The 25,192-nt window shown below is 41.8% G+C and overlaps 1 protein-coding gene across 13 annotated transcripts in view; it reads left to right on the forward strand.

Moving 5' to 3' along the window:
- The window catches only part of FAM120A (family with sequence similarity 120 member A), a 114,428-nt gene that overhangs the window by 81,152 nt on the left and 8,084 nt on the right, over nt 1-25,192 (forward strand). For 11 of the 13 annotated variants that reach the window (NM_001439102.1, XM_011518413.3, NM_001439104.1 and 8 more), the window contains 4 exons: nt 10,386-10,635; nt 17,741-17,855; nt 23,546-23,755; nt 24,991-25,174. In NM_001439102.1, the coding sequence (NP_001426031.1) occupies nt 10,386-10,635; nt 17,741-17,855; nt 23,546-23,755; nt 24,991-25,174 (759 nt within the window). Of the gene's footprint in view, nt 1-10,385; nt 10,636-17,740; nt 17,856-19,270; nt 23,523-23,545; nt 23,756-24,990; nt 25,175-25,192 lie in introns of those variants that run through there. The other 2 variants (XM_011518416.4, NM_001439107.1) reach the window with 2 other exon arrangements.

Below are 25,192 nucleotides of genomic sequence, written 5' to 3' on the forward strand. Positions count from 1 at the left end.
GTGATGATTTGTCTCGGAATCCTCTGAGACCTGTGCACTTCCAGCTGATCAACTCTGGGAGTGGGGGGTGCAGGTGGAAACACTGAAAAGGATTGTTTGAAAAGTTGGTCAAAGATGAGGTCAAAGCATTTTTCTTTATCTTCTAGTGGGCCTGTGTAATACTTGGAGAAAATGATGCCTTTCTGTTCTAGGTAATTTTATCTCCTAATGTAAGGAATGTAAAAGTAACTGTATATTTAGTTGGAAATACAGAAAAGAATCCTCAAACATACAGTCTGAGAATATTATGAATTGTGGAAATTGTAAATTACTAGATCATTCTTTGAGCCATGGATAATTAGTTACAGACTATTTGTTTGTGTGGTGGGTCAATGCAGTCCTCCTGAGATGGTGAAGCTCCTTGTCAGCACTGACTGTGTGCAGTGCTGAGCTTTGGAACTTTAACCTAAGTTCATTAGATTTAAAATATTTCTGTTTGCAATTACTATGACAAACTTGCAATCTGTAAGGCTTTAAAGTGAAGCAGTTCTCACTACCTTTCCTTGGTGATAGTTGTCCTGAGAGTGATTGCTGAGCTGCTGGTGTGACTGTCACTGGCAGGAGGTGATGCTCGCTCTGCAGGGCTGTGAGCATCTCCACCCTCTGTGTCTTCAGTGGTTGGAGATACCATGTGGAACAATGAACATTGTAAATGACATTCTTCTCAAAGGTTCAGGACATTCTTCAATGTACCTGTTTTCATTCTTTTCTCACATTGTGTGATCCATTTGCTCTCAAAAGAATGACATTTCTTACTTTGCACATGGCTGGTCACTTGTCCTGGCCTGTCTCTACCCTTCACTTCTGCAGGCTGACCAGGCCCTCAGACCCCCTTTTTTCAGTTGTTCCTCTCTCCTGGGCTTAGCCTGCTTGTGTTGCAGGCTCTGTCTAGTCCCAAATCCTGTGACATCCTGGGTGTTGCAGCTCCTTTGTCCTCAGTTTCAGCGCACTGCAGTGGCTTCATGGTAGAAGGTATTCTTTTTTATTTGCTTGTGTGTTCTAAAAACAGAGTTACCTTTACATAGCAAACTCCTTCAGGCATTTCCAATGATCACCTCAGGTTGAATAGGAACAGGCTTTGTGGCTTCTGTGCTGTCCCGTGGAGTCAGATGTGACAGTCCCCTACCCCTCCAGTGTTGGGCCATTCGGCATCATTGGTGTGCTGCAGTACCAAACACGCCCAGGAAGTGGAGTCTTGACCTCGTGCCTGCTGCATGTCTGCAGCACGCACGGCTGATGGTGCTTCTCATGCTAGCTCCCCATCAGCTGTCTTGGTCTAGGTTGGGAGGTCTCCGTCTGGGCCTGGGAGAGGCTGTCCTGTTAATGCACAGTAGAGAAGGCTCTCAGAAGGGCCAGAATATGCAGAGCACGTAGGTGGTGGGGGACAGGAGGGGAGGTGGGGATTGTGGAAGCCAGGGCAGGCCACAGCTTTCATGGTGTCAGACTGCCCCGACCTTCTCTGAGCACACCAACTCCAGCTGGAATCAGAGGTCACAGGAATGGAGCCATCCTGTGGCTCCTTTTCTTCCAAAGGAAGAAAAGACAAGAAGGGTTGGGGAAGTGTGAAATGACTCAAGTGAATGGGGGTGCCATTGATGTAGGTGGAGGAGGAAAGGGACACAGGAGAACACAAAACAGGATGGTGGCAGCAGGTGGCACTGGGTCTTCTCTTGAGACATGGCTGAGATGGACAAGGGAACGCCGTATCTTCAAAGTGAGAACTTACAGGAACTCCCTTCCCTCCTCTCCTCTTCTCCTTCTTTTTAAGGATGGGAGACTGAATAGTTTGGTTATTGTTATGTTATTTTTTTGGCCAATGGGGAGGATTTAGTGGGGGAGAGGTGAGTTTATCAGAGAGAATAGGAAAAAATTAGACAGTCCTGATAAAGAGTTTGTATTAGTAGACTTAGGTGGGAAGGAGAAGCAGAGGCAGAAGTCCATACTTTGGGGCCATCTTTGTTGGTGAAGGCAGGAAGGATTGGGGGTAAGGATACCTCAGATTTGGTTTGGGAAAGGGAGTCAACTAGCACTGAGGAAAAGGACAGAGGCCCAGCCAGCTGCACTTATTAGTTGATCATGGAGCATGGGTATTTTCTGCACTGTAGTTTAGTACTTCTTTGCCAATGGTAGTTTAGTACTTCTTCAATGGTAAATGAGATTTTAAAAGGATTTCATAAACATTTATGTCTTTTGCTATTGTGTGTATTACCCTTAGAGCAGTGTGCAGCAGGCAGTGAAAGAATGAATAATTGGTTTAGGTACACACAACTTATTGGAGATGAAGACCCGGTTTGGTGCGTCAGAAAATTAAACTTTGTTGTGTGAGGGTGTGCGTAAGTGCTGAGATGCTTTGAAAGGTCAGTGCTAAACAAATTGCAGTCTTTTCTGCTCAAGTGATTTATGAACTTTGATTTTGATATTCTGTAGAGATGGGGAGCCATTGAAGGTTTGGTACAAATGATGTTTCTGTTTAGAAAGATGAGTTGGATAGCGATGTATGGACTGAACCAAAACAGAAATGAAGCCTTTACGTGTCAAAGATAGGGCAGGTGCAGATGACCTTTGCCTAGACAGTTAAGACCCTAGAATTTAAGTGTTTAGAAAAATGCATTGTTAATGTGCTATGACAAATACATATTTATTTCTGAATGGAAAAGATGTGTAGATTTGACCTGAGTTTAGAATTTGGGAGACCTTACTCAGTACTGTAATTTCAGTGGGTGAGATTTTTGTAAGCAGCTTTAGAATCTAGGTCTTTATAGGGAGCTGATAAAATTGAACTTGTTTCATGCGTTAGTTACATTCAAGAGGGGGAAACAAGCCTATAAAAAAGTTTTTTATGTCAGTGATATATCCATGATTATCACTGTAATTGGAACACCAGCTCTCCAGAAGGGAAATTTTTGTTTTGAGAATATCTTGTGATTGTTAAGTCTCAATGCTCTCAACTTGCTCAAAACCAACCTTGTTTGAGAATTGAGTAATGTGCACAGTGTGATCTGTGTTCATGAACATTGCATGCATTAAAATGCCTTCCATATAACCTGTTTATTAGATTTTAGCTGACTAAATACTGACCCTGCTCAGGCCATTGATTTAAACTTCATTACTTGAAATATCTATTAATTGGTAACACATATTTGTACTAAGGAGAGTGCTATAGCTTCTTGACACTAAATAGGATAGGAAAATGTCTCATTGTGCCACAATGAAGCTGACATTGAAAAGTTTCTCAGGAGTTCTTGATTGAGAAGATGGAACAATGATTGTATTTAGATCTTGTTGAAATTTGCTGTCTAATCTATGGCCACTCTTGGACCACATGGAGGTTGAATGAAATTATTGGCGTACTGGAAGAAGATCCATAAGCCAAAGAAAGAGTCCTGGGAGGCCATGTCCCTGTGAAGGATCGTTCTCCTCCGACCCTGCTTCCTTGGCTTTCTGATGTGATCTGGCAACCCAGCCCTCTGCATATGGGCTCCAGTGAGAGCCTGCTGCTCCAGCAGCTGGTGTGGCCTTTCTGAATGGAAAATCTGTGACCTAAAATAGCTTCAGAACCTTATCTGCGCAGCTATATATTCCTGTTAATGGTCACTGTAACAATAAAGAATGTCCCAAGATGGCCTTATTATCAGACAGAACTATTCAAAAGGCAAGCATGTTGAAGTCTTAAGGGTTTCTTAAAAATATTTAACTCTCAGCAGATTTAAGACATGTATATTCATTTGGAAACCTAGTCAGTGATTAAGGCATATGGTCAAGTGTTCATAATTTACAGCTAGCTTTCCTGTGATTTACCAAACTTTCATTTTTATAGTCACTATATGGCGAAAGTAGGATATGAGACCTTTAAAAATTTCTAACCCTTCTGCTCCTGAACTAGGTGATAGCAAAAAAAGAAAAAGAAAAAAAATTCTTTTGAAAGTCACGTTGTATTCTGTGCTGGCAGTTTATTTTCCACGCCTTTCTTTCCATCCCTAAGTTCTATAATTTCACTTTTAGGAAATTCAGAAGAATATTTGCTTATCATGGCAGTATATGCCTTGAAATTCTAAGCCCTCCCAGTGGTGCACGTAGAAGAGAACTAGTAACACCCAGGGGCATGCAGATTCCTGCAGACGTGATCCACGGTGATAGTGGCACCTGCTGGTAGGGAGGGTGGAACCCAGAGACCTTTTCTGTTGATGCTGGAATAAAGGTTGGGCCTCGAGATGAGTCCGGGGTCTGACGCAAGAACTCCTGGCTTTGAAGCCTGCACCTTGCAAAAATACAGATGCTGTGGCGAGTTTCTTCTACTCGTTCCTGTGGTGGAGGTGGTTACATGCCTCAATGGCTTTTCCTCCTTCAGGGTGCCTCTTGGTCGCTCCCAGTCACTGGGGTTCTTTCTTTCCAGGGGTCAGTGGGAGAGGCTGCAGTGGTTTGAGGGCAAATGAGACAGAGTAAAAGGCCTACATTTTAAAAGATTGTAGAGTAATAAGAATACCCAGCTATAATTGAAGAGCGCAAAGTTCAGAAAGTAAAGCTCAGTGATTCGCACATTTTTAAAATTAACGTCATCTTAATAAAATTGGCTTTTGTTTCTTGCCTCCCATTTCCTACAAAAGTCTTCCCTAATACCTCAAAATTAAGTAAATAAGAGAAACAGGCTTATAAGAAGCAGACAGATAAAAATTATACACACATGAAATAAATATGTGGAATGAGGGAGCAAGTTTATAGGTGAGTACTATTTTTATGAAAGATTTTCCTATATTGATTCCTGTATTTTTAAACCACCAAGAAAAGCCGAAAGGAGCATTTTTTCCTGGTATAGTTTGCTTCAGAAATGTTTTTATTTGTGCTAATAATTGGAATTGCTAATAAAAAGTAAACTAAGTCTGCTCACTGTGGATTATACTATGAAACAGAATAATCAATATTATGGTGCTGATTTAATATTGTGAAAATTGGTATTGTAAACATTTTCCCCATGATTTCTGTTAATAAGTCTGTCTGAATTTCTTTATTCTACAGAGCTTTCTAGGAGCAGCATTGAGGTTTTTTTCACAGAACTTTGAGTAGACCTAGCACAACAGATGATTGCTTAGGAAGGCAAATGATATGACAGGCCAATCTGTGATATTACTCTTTTGGATTAATATTCATTTCATAAGTCCTTGTACTCTTTTTTTTTTTTAACCAGTGTTACTTGCCAATCCTTGAGCTTTTGAGTTTCTAATATATTAGGAATAACATACATGGAATGAGGAATATGAACAGCATTTATCTACATGTCTGTAATACTGTGTTCTGCTACATGTCCTGTGCCTTACTAAGCATTTATATTTTTGTGGACTGTGGGCTGCTCCATCCTCAACTATCAAAGTTTTAAGAAAATATCCACAGCCTTTTACCTTTGAGAATTACAGAGGGTGCTTACAGACGTATCAGCCTGAGGAGAAGAACCCAACCTGCTACCTACACGCTGGGGCTGCTTAAAAATTAGGGGGCAGTTTTTCTATCAGAAGGAAAAAAAACAGTCTTCGTTGTATCCATTTTTCTGTTTCTCTCCTGATATAAATGAATTGGAGGTTTTTGTTGTTGTTTATGGTCATAACAACCCCAGGAAAGCTCGTCAAGTATAATAGTAGCTGCTCCCTAAATACACACAACCAGAAGTCTAGTCGGCCACCATCTTGGAGGCCATTCATCTGCCCGCATCTCTTCCTCACCTATGAACAGGCGTGCATGCATACTGCAGTTCTCTCTCCTGCGCCCTTAGTGGGCATTGCTAATTAATGGTCAAGCTGTGGCACTGAGCTTAGAGACATACTTTATAATACGGTCTTACAGGTGGCCACTCCAGCAAGTTGGGATTGGCTTACAAAATGAACCATGTATATTATTCCTGGGCTAGGATAGATCCCAAAGTCAGCATTATAACAGATTTCCAAGGTGGCTTAGTTGTCATGTTAAATGTGCTACTAAAAGAAGATGACTAACACCTGATGGAAAACATTGAGTTTTTTTACTGACAGCTTAAGTACGATAGTATTTTATGGCCCCAAATTGTATTTTGAAGGGGTGCTTTCTGTAAGGAAAATGCGTTATAAATTTAGCCTCCAGTAACATGTCAGCCCTAGAGTTGTTTTTTTTTTTTTGAGACGGAGTCTCACTCTGTCGCCCAGGCTGGAGTGGAGTGGCGCAATCTCGGCTCACTGCAAGCTCCGCCTCCTGGGTTGGCACCATTCTCCTGCCTCAGCCTCCCCAGTAGCTGGGACTGCAGGCACCTGCCACCATGCCTGGCTAATTTTTTGTATTTTTAGTAGAGACGGGGTTTCACCGTGTCAGCCAGGATGGTCTCGATCTCCTGACCTCGTGATCCGCCCACCTCGACCTCCCAAAGTGCTGGGATTACAGGCGTGAGCCACCGCGCCTGGCCGCCCTAGAGTTGTTTTTGCCAGTGTAAAAAGTTGGTTTAGTGTAAGTTAAGGAAGACAGTTTAATATTCAGTCTTTCAGAAGTAGGCTACTTCCTGAAGTAGTAACTTTTTCTGACAGTGAAAAGAGATTAATATTTGTTGGTGGTGATACACAAGATTTATTCAGAGGTTTTCAGTTAGATGAGCTGACCTCCAGGAATCTCTTACTGTTTTAATAAGACTCAGTAGGAACATGTTGCTCTTCAAAACTACCAGTACGGAGTTCATTTTTATACTACCATGCTCTAAGTCCCAGATGGTACCCACCCAGGATGTGCTGGAGCCCAGTGCCATGGGCAAGCCCACATACCCCCAGGTTTCTGTAAAAACTCAGATTACTTTCTGTGAGCTGGCTACTTTGTATTTGCTTATTTCCTGTGGATTGAATAATACCGTGAGGGCTGAGAAGTCCTTCCTCCTGGGCAACAGTGACTCTTTGGAAGAAAGCAGCAGCCCAGAGAGAGAAGAGCAGCAGACATTCTCATCTCTAGAGGCTACCCTCCAGCTGCCCCTTTGCAGGGGACTTGTAAATCAGAGCCAAGCATTTTTCTTTCCTCAACTTCTTCCACTCTTGAGGCAGCTGTTTCAACCCGAAAATTGGATGTCCCTTGGAATTCTTCATAAGCACTAATTTGTAATTAATTTAATGTAAGTGATGTGTAAAATGTGAGTTCATCTCATTATCTCTACATAATGAGGGGTGCTAGGTGCTTTTCATGTTTAATCATCAGGACTGTGTTGCAAAGTTAGGTGTCACCTCTCATCTTAGTCCCTGGATCTAGGCCCAGGTCTGAGAACCCAAGGAGACCCTCCCTCTCAGGCACATGCCTGTGCAGATTGCCTGCTTCCCTCTTATCCCAGCCCTACCTGGCACACAGTAGATGTTCCATAAATACTTATTAACTGATTGGCCTAAGGTTCCACCTCTATTCTCTGGTGGAATACTCAAAAGATCTCTAACTATTAGAGATGAGCGCCTTTGCTTCTGGAGCAAGCCTTTGTGTCAGTCACATCTATTTTCTTTGATAAAGACATGTATTTCCTGAATTGGACTTGCTGTTCTTGTCATAACTGTTGCATGTGGGCAACAACATGCTTAGTGCTGTGAAAGAGGACACTAACCCCTCTCTGTCCCTACTGTGTCGACAGGCTTACCCAGGACAGTTCCGAGCCCTTCTAGGACTCGGAGCAGCCTTTGGCTGGAGTATTGCCATGAGTCCATCAGCAAGAGTCCAGTTTCGGCTCTCAGGAGTGTGTTCACCTGTTTCTTTCTGGGCTGTGTCGAGTCTGGAGACACAGCACCAGGCCAGGCTCATTCAGGTACACGGGAGGCCCTCTGAGCTCTAATGTGGAGAGTTGTCGGAGCCTGCAGCTGGAGTGCATATTTCTGAGGATACCATGCATTAGGACTAGTGCCTGTGACCTCCTCTTCACTCTGCAATCTAGGGCCTTGCAGGACGAACTCTGCAGAGGCCTAAAGGTTTTGAAATTGAGAAGGAAAATCTTCTACCAATAATTTTTTTTTATAGAATGAAAACAAAACATGAATGATTGCTAAAATGATTAAAGAGAGGCGAGAACAGAGCCGATGAAAGGGAAAGAAAAAAATGAAAAAGTTAAAGGCCAATTTAGTAAGAATGCCTCTCTTTATAACCCCTAGGGGACTCCTGACATGCACAACCTAAACCCATGCTCTGTGTGTGGGGTATGTTTCAGTGTGTGTATTGTGGTATGTGTGTGGTGGGGGGTGTGTGTGGTGGGGTTTGTTGGGGGATATGTTGTGTGAAATATGTGATGTGTGCATGGTATGAAATGTGTGATGTGTGTGTCCTATGTGTTTGCGAGGTGTGGTTATGTAGAGTAATCTGATAGCAACATAGCATATTGGCGAACAGCTCATTCTGGAAGCTCCCCTTGCCTGTTTTCTCTTGGGGTGGAGCAGCCTTGGTGTTGGATCACAGGAGGGAAGGCAGGTCGGCTCACAGGAAGGCCTGTGCATGGTAGTGGTGGTTGTGGAGATGATCCTGTATGTTCCGAGTCTACTTCTGGGAAAGCTTCTGGAAGCTGAGCTGTGCTGGAGATCCACAGGATCGGGGTGGGGGCAGTGCCTTAGATTGTGCGTCCAACGACAGGATATGCTTCGTGATGGAGACCTTATTGGTTTTATATCTATACCTAAAAGTATTGAATAAAAACAAATAAGCATGTATTTATATATACATGTATGTCTGTTTTGACTTGATGGACTTTAAGCATTTGGAGTGTTTGAAATATTCCTTTAACATCTAAACACTAAGATATTCAAATGTAAATGAAAGACATTTGCCTAATGAGAGCAGTAACATTTTTGTAAAAGGAAAATTTTCAGTGACTGCCTTAACTTGTACCCCAGCTCTGCCCGGCAGGCTTCACGTAAGGGGACACTATCTGGAGTTGGCTCCAGAAGGGCTTGTCACAGAGCCCTATGAGGTCTTGACTCAACGTGTTCCTATACGTGACACTGTTACCTGACTTGTCAGGTATTGAAATGTATTTAAGCATTTTTTTTCTGTTGCTGAGAAACTGTGTATCCAAGTGTCTAACTCCTGGTGTTTTTCATGACATTTTAAGAGATTATTGTATTGCCTGACTATATTTAGACTCAGAGTGGAACTGGAGATCAGCCAGTAATACATTTAACTCTGTCCTGCTTTTGGATTCTTCAGAATGCCTTAGGTATTACTTTAGAGAAGACAAACCCAGAGAGATTAATGTAATTTGGATAGAATGAATATGTTGAAGATCAAATTAGAGTTTATGATAGCATCCTGGTCTCCGTACAGACACTGGCCTTGGAGTGGGTCGTGCACTGGAGTGTGTCAGCCAGGGACGGTGCCTTTGCTCATGTGTAGCAGCACTGGGCAAGGGACAACACCAGGCCCCGCTTTGGTTCTGGTGTTTATTCAACTAAAGTGAACCACTTGTTACTTATAAAATGCATACCCAGATTTCCCTATTGGGTTGTTACCTCAGTGCAGTTGATGAGATTTTAACATTCTACTGTGCAATATGGATTGTTTTTGTTTTATTTCCTTGTCATTGTTTTTTCCTTAATTTATTGGGAAATCAATCAAGTGGGAAAATGTGCATGTTTATGTATTTGTAAGAATTGATTGACTAATAGTGAAACATCTGTGGATAAAAGGTATTGTTTCCATGTTACATCAACTTAGAACTTCTTGTCTTTTTTGAGGCGAAATGTTGGATAACTTTACACTCTGTCTGAAGTCTTGCTGAATAGAATTACTGTGTGCTGGCATCATCTGGGACTTCAAAACTTGGAATATTTGCATCTACTTGTGTTTTACTGGCCAGTCTTAAAAATAGAGTTTAACAGTTACATTTGTTGAAGTGGGAGGTTCAGTAAAGTGGCTACTGCATGCAAATTATTTCTCAAATCTAATTTATGAGGGTATTTATCCATGTAGAAAGGGATTAGCTATCCAAATTGGATTTTGCATGTTAAAATAATTAGATAACCACATACTTCCGTGAATTACACTGTTATAACTAAAACTATTTGTAGATATAAAATATTAAAATGGATTTTGTCTAACATCTTGATTTATGCATACTAGTTATATGAGAAAATCAAGTCATGATTTGATTGGATGAAACTTATTTGTGGCCTAACTGAAAATCTGAATGAGCCATTAATTGCACAGAATAGAGGGACAAACAAAATACCCACAAGGACTTGATGATTGGTAGTTTTGCTAAGGAGAGAATGCATTGTTACCTGAGAGGCGAATCTTTAGACCAGTTACTAGAGCTGCTTGTTTTTGTTAAGACTGAAAGCAGGTGAATGATGCATGAATGTGTCTTCTCTGGCTTTTTTTTCCTGTAGTTTCACCAGTGATCATTAAAGAATGGGCAGCTTACAAAGGAAAGTCTCCTCAAACCCCGGAACTGGTTGAAGCTCTTGCCTTCAGGGAGTGGACCTGCCCCAACCTGAAGAGGCTGTGGTTGGGTAAGGCGGTAGAGGACAAGAACCGCAGGATGAGGGCCTTCCTGGCCTGCATGAGGTCGGACACCCCAGCCATGCTCAACCCTGCCAACGTGCCCACTCACCTCATGGTGCTCTGCTGCGTCTTACGGTGGGTGCCATGCATGGGAGCTGGGACCTGGGTCCCCGCCAGGTGTAGGGGCCATGACCATGGTGTCAGATGAGTTCTAGAAAGGATGTAAAGTTTATTCCTGATCAATCATGTTGAAATTTATTGTCATCCCATATTTATATATGTGATAGAAATGTAGGTTATGTAAATGCAAAATATATTTTAATTTATATGATACAGTATGTTTATAGGTATATTTTGTAAGCATGTATGGTATGTAAATATTATATAATGATTTTAAACATGGTTTATTATTTAAATATTGAAGATTTTGAAGGCTATAAGAGGGGATTCTTGTTATATATTATTTGGAGTTCTTCTGTAGGGAAAATGTGCCACTTCTTCCCCCTTCATTTATTTAATCATTTACAGTCACACATTGCTTAATGATGGGGATACATTTTGAGAAATGTATCATTAGGTGATTTTGTCATTGTGTAAAACATCATAGAGTATATACAAACACGGCGAGTATTTGTGTATCTAAATGTGAAAAAGGTACAGTCAAAATATGGTATTATAATCTTATGCCATTATATATGTGGTCCATTGTTGACCAACACATTAGTGTGGCACATGCCGTATTTGTATCAGTATGGGCTCCTGTCCTCTTTTTATAGGGTCATAATCAATTCACTTGAGGTTATATCCAGCTCTGCCTTATCCTTACGCACATTGTCCCGGCTTATCCTTGGGAGCTGTCTTAGGTTGGCCCGTGTGACACACACCATCCTCTTGTTTTAGGAGAGCTTCCTTGCTTTTTTGCCCTACAAGATGCTTCAGGCACGCTTTGTGTTTCCCTGCTCCAGCATCAGCCATCTCTCCAAAGAGCAGCCCTTGTTCCTTGTTGTGAAAAAGGTGTCTGGAAACCCAGGTCTGGGTGCTGGTGTGGTCCTGCTGCTGGGATGTCTCTGTGTCTGTGCCCTCACAGCCCACAGCTCAGTATGGGTAGATACTGTTGACGTTTTGAAGTTCAGTTGAGTTGGGATACATACTGGATGTTCATTAGGTTTTGGAGTTGATTCGTTTGGTTTGGTTTCATTTTAAAAGAACTTCAAACATAGAGAAAAGTTGCAAGTACAATACAGAAACCTTTTTTTTAACTTAAATACTTTACTGATTTTCTAACAGTTGATGGCATTTTACTTTATAACCACCAAAGAACCATCAAAATCAATCCGCAGTGATGCTGTGGTCCATTCCACCCTTCAGAGCTGTTAGGCTTGTTGTCCCAACAGTGTCCTTTATGACAAGGAACCTGTTCCTGTTCCAGGTCGTCTCTGCTTTCAGGAGTGATGCCCTGCCTGGGGGTGCACACCTCCTTCTGTCCCATTAGGCAGGACACTGGCTCAGAGGGTTTGGTGCAGGGTGACTGTGGCTTCTCCGTGTGGTGCTGCTCTCACCTTTTGTAACCGTCTCACATGGAAGTGCTTAGAGGCCCTGTAAAGGTTTCACTCCTCAGACAGGCAGCACGTTTTTATCAGCATGAACTCAGAGCCTCTTGTTTCTCTAGGGGCCTTCAGCTCACTGCACCATCATCTGTTTTGATGTTCCCTTTGTCACCTTGCAAACTGGCCTTCGTCATCTTCTCTGAGCACCTCCTTTCTTCTCCACAGATGTTCTGCTTGCCCCTGTGTCTCCCTGCCTCAGCCCTGGGATCCCCATTTCTCCAAGCAGCCCCAGTTCTTCCAAGTGGGGGATGGCATTTAGAAGCCAGGCTCTCAGAGTCGGAGGTTCTGTGCTGCAGGAACTTTGCCGCCCTGGCCCTCCCAGTGCAGCATGAGGGATCCACCCCAACATTGCTGTTGTGTATTCCTATATCTCATTGAAAACAGTGGATTTACCCTGGTCCTTCCAAGCTGGCACAGTCCAGTGTCCCTCCCTGTGTTCATAGGGTACGGTCTAGCATCCTGCTGCATTCGTAGCTTCTGGCTCTGGCAGTGAGAGGCTTGGCTGGGAAGCCCCATGGCCCCTTACTTGGTCAGGATCCCTGTGTGGTGCAGTCCCTATTGCCCCTGTTTCTTTTGGGGCCTGTCTCACCCTCTGGGCTGGCACCGCTTTTGCAGGCATGACTGACCATCCCTCCCACTGGGTCCCAACTACCTGACTTTAGGAAGGGAGGGACAGAGCTTATTCTTGTTTTTATTTCCTGGTGGTTCTTAAATTTATAACAAATGTTAAGGCCAATAACTTATTTAGGAAGATTCAATTAAATGGAGATTGACTTAAATCACAGTGTGTCAGCTGAACGTGATTTCCATTGAAGACTGGCTGATGGGAAAGACTCCTTTTTTTTTTTTTTTTTTTTTTTTTTGAGACGGAGTTTTTTGCTCTTGTCGCTGGAGTGCAATGGTGTGATCATGGCTCACTGCAACCTCTGCCTCCTGGGTTCAAGTGATTCTCCTGCCTCAGCCTCCCAAGTAGCTGGATTACAGGCATGCGCCACCACGCCCGGCTAATTTTTTGTATTTTTCGTAGAGATGGAGTTTTACCATGTTGGTCAGGCTGGTCTTGAACTCCTGACCTCAGGTGATCCACCCACCTCGGCCTCCCAAAGTGCTGGGATTACAGACATGAGCCACCGCACCTGGCCAATTCCTTCTTTATTTTTGTTTTTAGAGGCTTCTGGTTTCCTCTGATAGCAAATTCAATTAAAGACATGTTTTTATTAATAACAATATTATATTCATAGAAAGTTTAAGACTTTGGATTCTGTGAGATCAAATTAGCAATAATGAATTTGATTACTTTTTTTGTATTTTTCTCTTCCAAGTTTAGTGTGACACATGGCCTTTAATCTAGCAGAGCACCTGACAGGCCACCATATACTTGACCTAAGGTACATACTGGGACCCTGAGTGAGGACACACTCTGGGGCCCCGCGGCCATGGCAGAGGATGAGCTGCTGTTGCACTATAGGGGGCTAGGGTCACATCGTTTCAGCTTCGTGTTTAAGTTTGTGCTCAGACTCTTAATGCCGTCCCATCTGGTGTATTTACTCTGCCCCTCCTGTGGCTGGTGCCTCGTGGCCTGCTGTGTGTGAGCACTGAGATGCACGGACAGGGAAGAGGCCATGCATGCAGCTGGTCCTGGTGGCATTGTCTCCCAGCCCACTCTTTTGTTTGCTCCTCTCGATGCCTGGGGCCTGGCAGCGGAGTGCTGGCCCTTTCTCAGCAGTGATCCCAGAAACACCTGAGCCATCTCCTCAGCACTGTTGAGATGGCTGTCGGCAAGACAGAAATGAATGGGCACGGCCATGCTCCAATAACCTTCTCTTTACAAACACAGGTAGCCAGCTCATGGCTACAGTTTTTTTTATTCCTTTATAGACTATTATCAATTTCTATTGGACACATGTTTCTTCACCATTAGAGTCAGGTGATGCATTTGGGGTGGAACCCCACAGAAGGGGTATGGTGGTCTTCTCATTGCTCCCTAAGGGAATTTAGTTTTTGCTTTTACTAGTGATGTTAACATCGATCACTTGGTTAAGGTAGAGTTGGGCATACATATATTTTAAATGCTATACTATGGCAGCAATGGGGATGGACAGTGGAAGAATATCAGTCAAATCTCTAGAATCCCTGATAGCAGAGACGGGGGATGGAGTCTGAGCAGAGGTTGCTGCAGTGTGAGGGTGCAGGCTGAGGGCACAGAGCAGAGCAGGTCTTTTTGGGGATGCAGCATGGATAAAATAGACAAGGCTCTTGTCCAAAAGCAGCAGCTTATGTTCTTGTAGGAGCAATATGGCAGACACAAAGATGCAGACTGGGTTAGGTTTTAGAAAAACTTGACTTAAATCAGTAAATACAGTAACAGGGATGGAGGGCATAAGGCTCCAGAGCAATGCTGGCGCCGTCAGTGTGTGCTCTAGAGGTGCAACCCGGGTGGTTGGTGGTCAGCCTGGGTGACACAGCAGGTGGCCCATGCTGGCTGAGGCCTGCTTCTCTCCTTTTGGAGCTCTGGCTTTACCCCAGCTTCCATGCTTGTAAAGGGCAGTGAGAGGAGATGGGGTCAAGGTCAGCCAGCCTTAGGAGGGCTCCAGAACAATTTATAATGCCCCCACCCTTCTGTGGTAAGGAAATGAAGGCTGTGGGAAGTTAGACAACTCCCTGAGGCCCTATAGCTGTCTATATTAGCACATTAAGTGACATGTTCATAATCTGCTTGATTGCATGGAAAAGAACATGGAGAGAAAAAATTTCCAGAAATACCATAGATAGATTTAGTAGCGTAAAAGGGATCTGAAAACATTCTAAATGCACAGGTAGGAATTAGCACAAATAAATAAGCTGACCAAGAGTTAAGTTCTCAGCCGCTCTTATCTTGACTCTTAACCAGGATCTGTTTTGATATTTAATCTATGTATGTATGTATGTACCTAGTAATTCATACTCTGTATCCAGCAAGGTGTTCAGAGGACCTATGATGAGAAGGGTCTAAACACTATCTCTGTTATAGAAAGCCAGATGGAGGAAATAGCAGATAGTCTGACCAACAACATTGTTTGCTGTCCTGGCGAAGTTGAATTCTGAGAGTCTTAGCTGCCAGGAAAGCCAGGAAAGATCTTGAGAGAACCAGTGTATCTGCAATACAGTCTTTTTCTGATTAAAAAAAAAAAATTTTTTTTTGAGATGGAGTCTTGCTCTGTTGCCCAGGCTGGAGTGCAGTGGTGCCATCTCGGCTCACTTCAAGCTCCGTCCTGGGTTCACGCCATTCTCCTGCCTCACCCTTCCAAGTAGCTGGGACTACAGGTGCCCGCCACCACGCCCGGCTAATTTTTTTGTTTTTGTATTTTTAGTAGAGACGGGGTTTCACCATGTTAGCCAGGTTGGTCTTGATCTCCTGACCTCGTGATCCTCCTGCCTCAGCCTCCCAAAGTGCTGGGATTACAACATTTTAAAAGGAACCAATAGCTAGGGGCTGAGGTAGGGAAGACTGGGGAGTTGTTGTGTAAGGGGAACAGAGTTTCAGTCTGGGAAGATGAAAGGAGTTCTGTGGATGGATGATGGTCATGGTTGCACAGCAGTGTGAATGTGCTTAATGCCACTGAACTGTACACTTAAAAATGGCTTAAATGGTAAATTTTTTGTGTATTTTACCTCAATTAAAAAATAAAAAGAAATTAAAATAAAAGGAATATAAAACATAGATACTTCAGGGCAAAGAACATTGTATATAATTTCTTGAGACAAAAATAGGAGGAGAGGACCTTCTTCATATTTGCTGTTTCTTGCATCCGGCCCTGATTAAAACTCAGTAAGACCAGGCTGGGTGCAGTGGCTCACGCCTGTAATCCCAGCACTTTGGGAGGCTGAGGTGGGTGGATCACCTTAGATCAGGAGTTTGAGACCAGCCTGGCCAACACAGTGAAACCCTGTCTCTACTAAAAATACAAAAATTAGCCAGGTGGGGTGGCGTGTGCCTGTAATCCCAGCTACTTGGGAGGCTGAGGCAGGAGAATCACTTGAACCCAGGAGGCGGAGGTTGCAGTGAGCCGAGATCATGCCACCGCACTCCAGCCTGGACCACAGAGCAAGACTCCATCTCAAAAAAAACAAAACAAAAACAAACCAAAAAAAAACCAAACCTCAGTAAGACCATTGTATTTAAGATTTGTGGCAGTTAATCAATTGCAAAGGATGTGATTTTGTCATTGCAAATATTGATGGTTTAATTAAATGAAACTTTCACATCACTCTTTTATGTATCTCATCAAATATAAATACCATAGAAATGTAACATTTGCTGTTTGTTCTCCTTGAAATTGCATTTACATCCTACTTTTGCCACATTAATTTGACCATGACGTATATAAGCTCTCTGTGCTTCAGTTTCCCCTTCTCTAAATTGGGATAATTATTGTTCCTGTCTCAGAATTTCTATAACAGTAGATGAGTTAAAGTGTGTAAGGTGCTTAGACCAATGCCTTGGCACCTAGTGAGCACGTAAACTTTCTACTTTGGGCTTCAACTGAAAATATATCTCAATGAGCTGTCTAGAACCTCCCTTACTTAGTTTGTGTACCCATGGATGAATATTAATTAATACAAGAATGATTTAGTGCTCAGCACCAACTCTAACCCTGGGTTTTGTTAACTCAGATTTTAAGCACTGAGCAAACTTACTCTGCAGATGGGAATGGAAAGAGCTTTGTTAAGCATGTCACGGTTCTCTGAACTCCTTTTGAGTTATTTGCCAGAGATCACGTCGTAATCTATCATCAGAAGTTATTTTTAGTGATCAGCTGGCAACTTGATTAGGTTGTCCTTCAAGTTTATGGAATGCAAAGAACTGGGAACGTTAGACTTCAGAAAGGTTTATGACTAAGTCATTATAGTTAGCCCTTCACTTTTTCACGCCCAGACACTCCTTGGGGTTGTGCCTTGTGCAGTACTGTAGGGTGTTTGTGATTCAGGCAGTGCTGTTACTGAGAAGGGAAGGAGACTCCCAGGCAGACCTGTTCTAGTTGAAGTTGAAGATTTGGAGATTGATTGTCCTTTAGCAGCCACTTCAGGGTGGGCACATTTTGCCGTGGCTCTAGTGATGGTCCTACGCATTGCTTTTCTTGAGTCTGACTCCCGCTCACCTTGTGGTACTGGCCCTATCTTCGGTTATTTACCTGCTCCATGGACCTGCAGCTGCAGAGTGGCCAGGCAATGGTCTTTGCTTTTCATCTCGGGATTTGTCTTTCTTATTTATACCTAGGGTCTGCCTCCTGGCTATCCTGGCTTGAACAAAAAAATGAATGAATCCTGAAAATTGGTACTTAGAATGTACTTCCAGGGTTTAAATGTTTCACAAGAGTGAGGTTGTATCAAAAATCACTGACTAGCTAGTTTTCAGTATCCACAATTCAGTGTGCTATTTTTAATTATTCTAAAGTAAAACATTCTGACATCCTGTTTTCATTTGTAATGGTATCATCAAATGAAAGTAGAAAAGTAGAAAAGCTGAATAAGAAATCACATGGGTCTTCTTAGCTCACATCATCCGGGATTTACCTAGAACCTCCCACTGGACTTGTCTATATGACGGGCGACCACTCAGTAATCACCAACCTTTTGTTTCTGCCCCTCACCAGGTACATGGTGCAGTGGCCGGGAGCACGCATCCTTCGGCGTCAGGAGCTAGATGCCTTCCTGGCTCAGGCGCTGTCCCCCAAACTCTACGAGCCTGATCAGCTCCAGGAGCTCAAGGTAATTTATCAGCCTCATTGCATTGTCTTGGACAGTCTCACTTTGGATTTTGGTGTAATACTGCTAACTTTCAACAGGCAGAATTGCTAATTCTTTAAACTAATTGCTTTAGTCCACTAAACTAATAATACTAATATGATAAGAACTTGATCAATCGCCTTCATGGCAAAAGGAATATTCCTTTCTAGTTATGGATTTGCTATCCCCAGTTTGGAAATGATTAGTCCCACTTTGTCAGAGAATGATTTCCCCTTGTTTACCATTGGATGTTTATTCTTATTTATCACATCATGAAATAAACTTGCCTTTTATATTTTAGGGGGGGATTCCAAACCCTGAGAGGGCTTGATCTTAAGAATTTTCTAACATCTAGCAAGGATTCTTTTTCTTATTTCATTTCATTGTTCCTAATTACAACTTTAGTTTTCTCTAAAAAATATTCTTTGCCCCTCAACTATTATAAAATCCCTTATAAAAAACCACTTGAAGAACGATGTTACATCATCATTTCTATCCCTTTTTAAGTCAGCATTTAACATCATATTCCTTTTAATTTTGCCTTCTAGTAATTCCTTTTGTTCTTTAATTGTTTTGACAATATTGATTTTTCTCCAAGTTGTCACCTAATTTTTCAGTGTGGATATCTTTTTTGGTATACTTTCATTAGTTACCTTGTTCACATGGTTGTAATTGCTTTCTAATTTCCATATTAAATTTTAGAAAGTTCAAGACTTTTCAAAGCTAGTTAAATTAGTAGATCAGCCTTTTCTTTTCAATGTATAGGGTTTTGTTTTTTTCTTTGCCATCAGTTCTTGTTTTGTTTTATTTTGTTTTGTTTTACAGAGTTTGATTTGTAATCAGTTAATCTCTTTCCACAAAATTGCCTTCACCTTTAGATCTTTTTGGCATTCTTTATGAAGGCATTCTTTCCATGGAGGGGAATTTTAGGCTCACTTAATAGATTTTCAGTATTCAATAGTTGTTGCTTAATAAATTTCTAGTTTTCCCTAAATTATCATGTTAAATTGAGTAATTTGGTGTTAAGTGACCCTCCTCAATTGTGTGGAGCTCACCTGAGACTTCTTGTGACTTAGAAATAAGCTAAGTAAAAAAAACAAAACTTAGGAGAATTCACTTCAAATTGTGTTCTTTACTTTGTAGATCAAGCTTTTCTGTTTGTTAGACAGAAATTATTATTTTTAATGTTTTTGAATTTACGTTTCTGTTTTCAATGTTTGGTCAGGTGTCCCCGTCAGGCAGTGTGGCTGGTGCTAAGTCAGGTCCTTTCCCGTGTCCTCACCTGGTTTGTCTCATCACCACCGTCTTCGTCACAGATTGTGCTTCAGGGGGTTGGAGATACTTTTGCTAGTGTGTGGTGCCATCCCTCTACCTCTACTCCTGTTTCTCTTATATAGATTATTACATCAGTATTGACATCCCAGTTCTGAAAATCAGACCGCCAGGTATCAGGTATGCCCACTAAGCCTTATTCACCATCAAGTTACTTTTACTCAAAGTTCATCTTATATCCCATATCCTTTTCATTTTTGGATCAACACATAGGATATAACTTTTGAAAAACAATCACACTCTAAGCTTTCATTTTGGTTCTTTTGAGATCTTAGTGCTTTCATGGTTTTCTCCTGGTTCTTCATCTAAAGCCAGACATTTGTAGAGATATGCTCAGAAAGACATATGTATGTATAGTAAACTTCAGTCTGACTCATCGATCCTCTGGGTCTTGCTTGTCTGGAGGTCGACAGTTCCCTTTAATAAGAGCAGCCTACACCTGTAAGTGCTTCATTTTCATGATTAGTATAAATTCTGAGAAAGCTATAAGGAAAAATAGCATTTGTTGGGGGGGAAAGGCAGTTATTTGCTTTTTTGTTTTTTAAGATTGAAGATCCTCTCAGCTATCATCAGATTGAGAATTGATAGGAATGATCATTATTTAAATGCTACAAAAATTCCTATGCAGAGCTGAGGGTTCCAAAATTCAGTGATAGAAAATTAAATTCTAAAATTGCCTTTTCATTTAACCATTAAAATTTTTTGCAATATCAAAAGCAACAACAGTGCTTTGTTGTAATACACCATTCATAGTTTGTGATATAGTCAACTCTTGACTGTTAACTGGTGTGTCTGGGCCTGCTACCCAGTTTGTGGATTGCCCAGACCCTGTTTCTCTTCTCCCATTTATCGTCCACTCTGTGGTTGGCCATCAGAGGAGGAAAAGAGGAAGGAAAAACCCAGTGGTGACAGTTAGGACTCTTGTTAGCTTTTTCTGATGGGAGGTTTGGTGGGACAAGACATTGAAACCATTAGTTACAATGAATTTTTAAGAATTTCATCTCATCCATGCTTTCTTCGTCTGCCATGTCCATGAATAATTGAGAGTGTTCCATGTGGCTCCTTAAATACCTGTGACAGTGATTGATGACCCTCATTTTTCCTGTTATATTTTTTAAGCCCTTCTCCTAGGTTACCAGCATGAATGTAATTAAGGTAAAATTAGCACTGACCCCTGTGTTTTGAGGAGGGTGGGTAAAGGATGAGAAGGAACTTTGTACCATTATAGTATTTGTCCAGTTTCTTTCTCCCTTGCCTTGACATTCCTATAATTGCCTTAAATTCTTTTAACAGTTTCACATGCCAAGTGCAGAATATAAAAGATGGAAAATGAAGAGCTTTAAAGACAGTATTAGGGGCATGCAACATGTCTGTGATACGTGTAAGAATTATTTTGCATATAGGTAAATATGACAAATTGAAGTAAGAGTCTGTTGCCCAGTAATCAGATGTTGGACAAAGTAACTTTACTGGAATTTGGTTCTTGAGCTAATCGGTCAGAGAGATTAACTTCCATATTTGTATTTCTTATAAAGTCAGAATTTTTTGTCTGTATTTCTCTAGTTGAGGAACTTTGGATGATATTGAATATTTTATCTCAATTGATATAAGAGAATGAAGTTAGAATGTGAATATTGCAGCTATTTTATAATCAAGGGTTCAGATTTGGGTTCTCCCAATTACCAGCTCTGTGACCTTGAACCCTCTGTGACCCGTCTGTACAAGGGAGTACTATTTAGAGGTGCCTGCATTCTATGTTGTTTAGAGATGGCAGTGAGATAATGAAAAAAGCAGTGCTTGATATATATTTCTTAAGTTCCCCATAAATATTAAATGTTATTATTTATATATAACATTTAGGGAAAGAAAAACACCACATAATGTAAGTTTAAAAAATTTTCAAAGGAAGCAAATTTACACTGCAGTCAAGATTTTATTCAGATTGTTTATGCAAGCTCTTATTCTAAGAACTTTTCTCTATTAGATTAATGCTAATTGAACCATTAATTATCTTGAAACTATAAATAACATTTAAAAAATTCTTAAAAGTATAATCCTTTAATGTTAAGGCCATTTGATACACACACACACACACACACACACACACACACACACACACACACACACACACACACACACTAGCCTTGCTGCATTCTTCCTGTCAGCAAATTTGGAGATTAATAGTTTTAACTAGGGCGCTTGTGTGCCGTATACATCTGCTGCTGTTTCTTCAGTTTGGCAATGCAGATAGCCGTTTGCCGGGTAAATGGTTTTGGTTACATTAGTCTTAAAGGTTTGAATCTGGATGTGATTGGCACCAGCCCGTTCCTAAGAAACACCTGCAGGGGCTGGATGCGGTGGCTCATGCCTGTAATCGCAGCACTTTGGGAGGCCGAGGATCTTCTCAGATCACATGAGGCCACGAGTTTGAGACCAGCCTGGCCAACATGGTGAAAACCTGACTCTACTAAAAGTACAAAAATCAGCCAGGCATGGTGGCGCACGTCTGTAATCCCAGCTACTAAGGAGTCTGAGGCAGGAGAATTGCTTGAACCTGGGAGGCAGAGGTTGCAGTGAGCCAAGATTGCACCATTGCACTCCAGCGTGGATGACAGAGCGAGACTCTGTTTCAAAGAAAAAAAAAAGAAACACCATTAGGATGGTGCTGCATGTGCTTACACAAAGGGTGTTGGTGGCATTTTGTGTTTTAACATTTGGATAGCCAGGCAAACAACTTTAGAGCAGCATTTTCTCTCCCTAATCCTTGACCTGGATTCTCTGTTCTCTGGTGTAGGGCAGAGAGAGGGGCACGGAGGCCCCTGGGCTAGAAGCAGCGGAGCCCCACCTGACTGGAAGGGATTTGTGGTCATAATTTCTGCAGTGCAAGGGGCCAGGAGATGGGTGTCCTATTCATTCATGGGCCACACCTGTGCTTGGCTGCTTTCCAACAGGGTTGGCTCCCTCTTTCTGCCTTGAGAATTCTCCCTTTCTGCAGCTCAGAGGTGGGGGTGGCTGGGGTCTAAATGAATCAAGTACATTTTCTCCATTTTGTTCTAGTATGACCTCTCTTCCTCCACTTTGCACATAAATATAAAAATGCATCTAATTCTATCACCCCAGCCCTACCTGCCCCCAAGGGAACATTTTTTAGTTCACTTCCCAACAACTGCATGGGAAAAGGAGGAGCTGGTGATGTACAATAGGATCCAGAGGTATAAACACCTTTTATAAATTGGTGAACAGACTTCTCCAGGTTTTGGAAGGTCAACTGTATTGTGAAAATTTAAAAAAAGGTTGGGAAACAGTGTTAGTTGATAATAGGAACTGTTAACACAAACAACAAAAACAGCAGATGATTGTAAGTTTATTAGCATTTGGCACCAGAATGACCTTTTTCTCTTTAATGAAAAGCCCCTTTACCTGCCACATGTAGGCATTGCTTAGATTGATCTCCCATAAACATTGCATTCTTGAAAAGCCACCAAAGTCGGAAGACAAAAGCCAGAGCAGGGCTAAACTTTGATCCTGGATAATCCACAAACTAGGCCTTTCACATGCAGATGATCAAGAGTTGACTGTACTCGTGTTAATGTTTCTCACTCTGCTTATCAGACACTAGAAGCGTGGGCTCTACGTATAGAAGGTAGGCACCCAGCACTTAACACTGAGGGAAGTAAAAGTCTGCACAAATTCTAGTAGTATGTATGGTTCAAGAACCATATTTTTGTTGTCTTCTTTCATTTATAAGCTATCCATTTCTCCAAAAGACATTTTGACAGTCTTATTAATAAGTTGCAATTAAAAACCTTGACATATAAAATAATGTGAACATAAAGTATAAATTTATTTTAGAATGTAATTATACCAAATAATCTTTTAATGTAACTATTTAAAAATGCAGAATCTTAATAGAGTGTTCAGTTTTGACACTCTTTCTGTTAATACGTTACCTGTGTGCAGATCTGAAATGTGAAGTGTTATTTTACGAAGAGATTGTGGAGCCCTGGGCTCTAAGGAGACCACACATCATTGCTCATTTTGTCACACGTCAGCCTTAAGTACAGTGTTACTCTACACTGCGGAACGCTTTATAAACCCAACCTGAAATACTTGAGTATGTTTATAAAATATTCTCTTAAATTCAAATGTGTTAAATCACATAAGTATTTCTGTTCAAATGAGGCCAGTGTTAGGTCAATATAAGGTAATGGTAGGACTACTTAGTGGTGCTGTTTTGTTGAGGAATATTCTGTTAACTTTGGAGAGTTTTACTAAGACTTTGAAAGAATTTAATACTGTAGTACTCTTATTCCATAGAAATTACTCTTTTCAATTTAAAGATTGAGAACCTAGATCCCCGAGGAATTCAGCTATCAGCTCTCTTCATGAGTGGAGTAGACATGGCCTTGTTTGCAAATGATGCATGCGGACAGCCAATCCCCTGGGAACACTGTTGTCCTTGGATGTATTTTGATGGGAAGCTCTTCCAATCCAAACTCCTCAAAGCCAGCCGGGAAAAGACCCCACTCATTGACCTCTGTGATGGTCAGGTATGCTGCGGGGCCGGGTGGCTGCCTTTAACTGCAATGAAATAAAGCTCACTGGTTAAATCTGTCATCTTTTATACCATATTTATCATCCTGTGTTTCAAGATTCTGTTTTAGGTTGGGCCTGGTACTGAGTGTCACTAAATATCACTTCAGTACCCAGGATGAGCCAAGCTCCTGATATAACATTGTTTCTCATTATTTGTGGTAGTAATGTTCTAAAATTCACCTTGAACGCCAAATTAGTGAATACTGACCATTGCTCCTAGGGGCAATACAAGGTGCTGGGTTCCTTCAAGGCTCTGGTCACATATTTTTGTTAACCAATCAGTATATAATCTTATTTCATGTGCATTTTCGTTAAAGACACCTTATATAATATGGATTGTTGATTCATTATTATTGAACTCACAGCCAGTAGCTTCTGTAACACGTATATTCTCTGTAAGGCACATCACAGCCTCCTTATGCATTTAGGAACACCAGACAGCACTTCAGCACTACACTTGGAGACCATTTTATTTGTTTGTTTGTTTTGGTTTTTTTTTTTTTTTTTTTGAGATGGAGTTTCGCTCTTGTCGCCCAGGCTGGAGTGCAGTGGTGCGGTCTCAGCTCACTGTAACCTCCACCTCCCAGGTTCAAGTGATTCTCCTGCTTTAGCCTCCCTAGTAGCTGGAATTACAGGTGCCTGCCACCATGCCCAGCTAATTTTTGTATTTTTAGTAGAGACGGTGTTTTGCTATGTTGGTCAGGCTGGTCTTGAACTCCTGACCTCAAGCAATCCACCCACCTTGGCCTCCCAAAGTGCTGGGATTACAGGCGTGAGCTGTTGCACCCAGCCAGGGACCATTTTAAACAGTGAAATTACCAACAAAAAAGGACAAAAATGTGAAACACGTGGCACTTAATAAACTGTGAAAAGGATTCTTGTTTTCAGTATGAGCTGAAACAAGAAGGCAAGCGTTGTCTTGTTTGACCTCAGCTGGGGTCAGTGCATCAGGCAACAAAAATCTTTGCCGTGTTCTGCACAAGTCTGCAGACGACCAGAAAACTGCCATAAGTATTGATTTTTGTGGTTACAAATAAACGTTAGCAAGTAGGAGAATTTGCAGACATAGAATTCATGAATAAAGGGAACCAACTGTATAGTTGATAGATCTTATTTCTTTAGTGCTCATTTAAATTCAATTAAAACCCCCTGTGGATGGCATTTTCACATGCTGGTCCTTGTCTTCCAGGCTGATCAGGCTGCCAAGGTAGAGAAGATGCGCCAGAGCGTCCTCGAGGGGCTCAGCTTCTCCAGGCAGAGCCACACGCTCCCTTTCCCGCCGCCACCTGCCCTGCCCTTCTACCCTGCCTCTGCGTACCCCCGGCACTTTGGGCCTGTCCCACCCTCTCAGGGCAGGGGCAGAGGCTTTGCAGGTGAGTTGATTGGGACGT

This window comes from Homo sapiens, chromosome 9, assembly GCF_000001405.40.
Source record: "Homo sapiens chromosome 9, GRCh38.p14 Primary Assembly".
NCBI classification, from domain to species: Eukaryota; Metazoa; Chordata; class Mammalia; order Primates; family Hominidae; genus Homo; species Homo sapiens.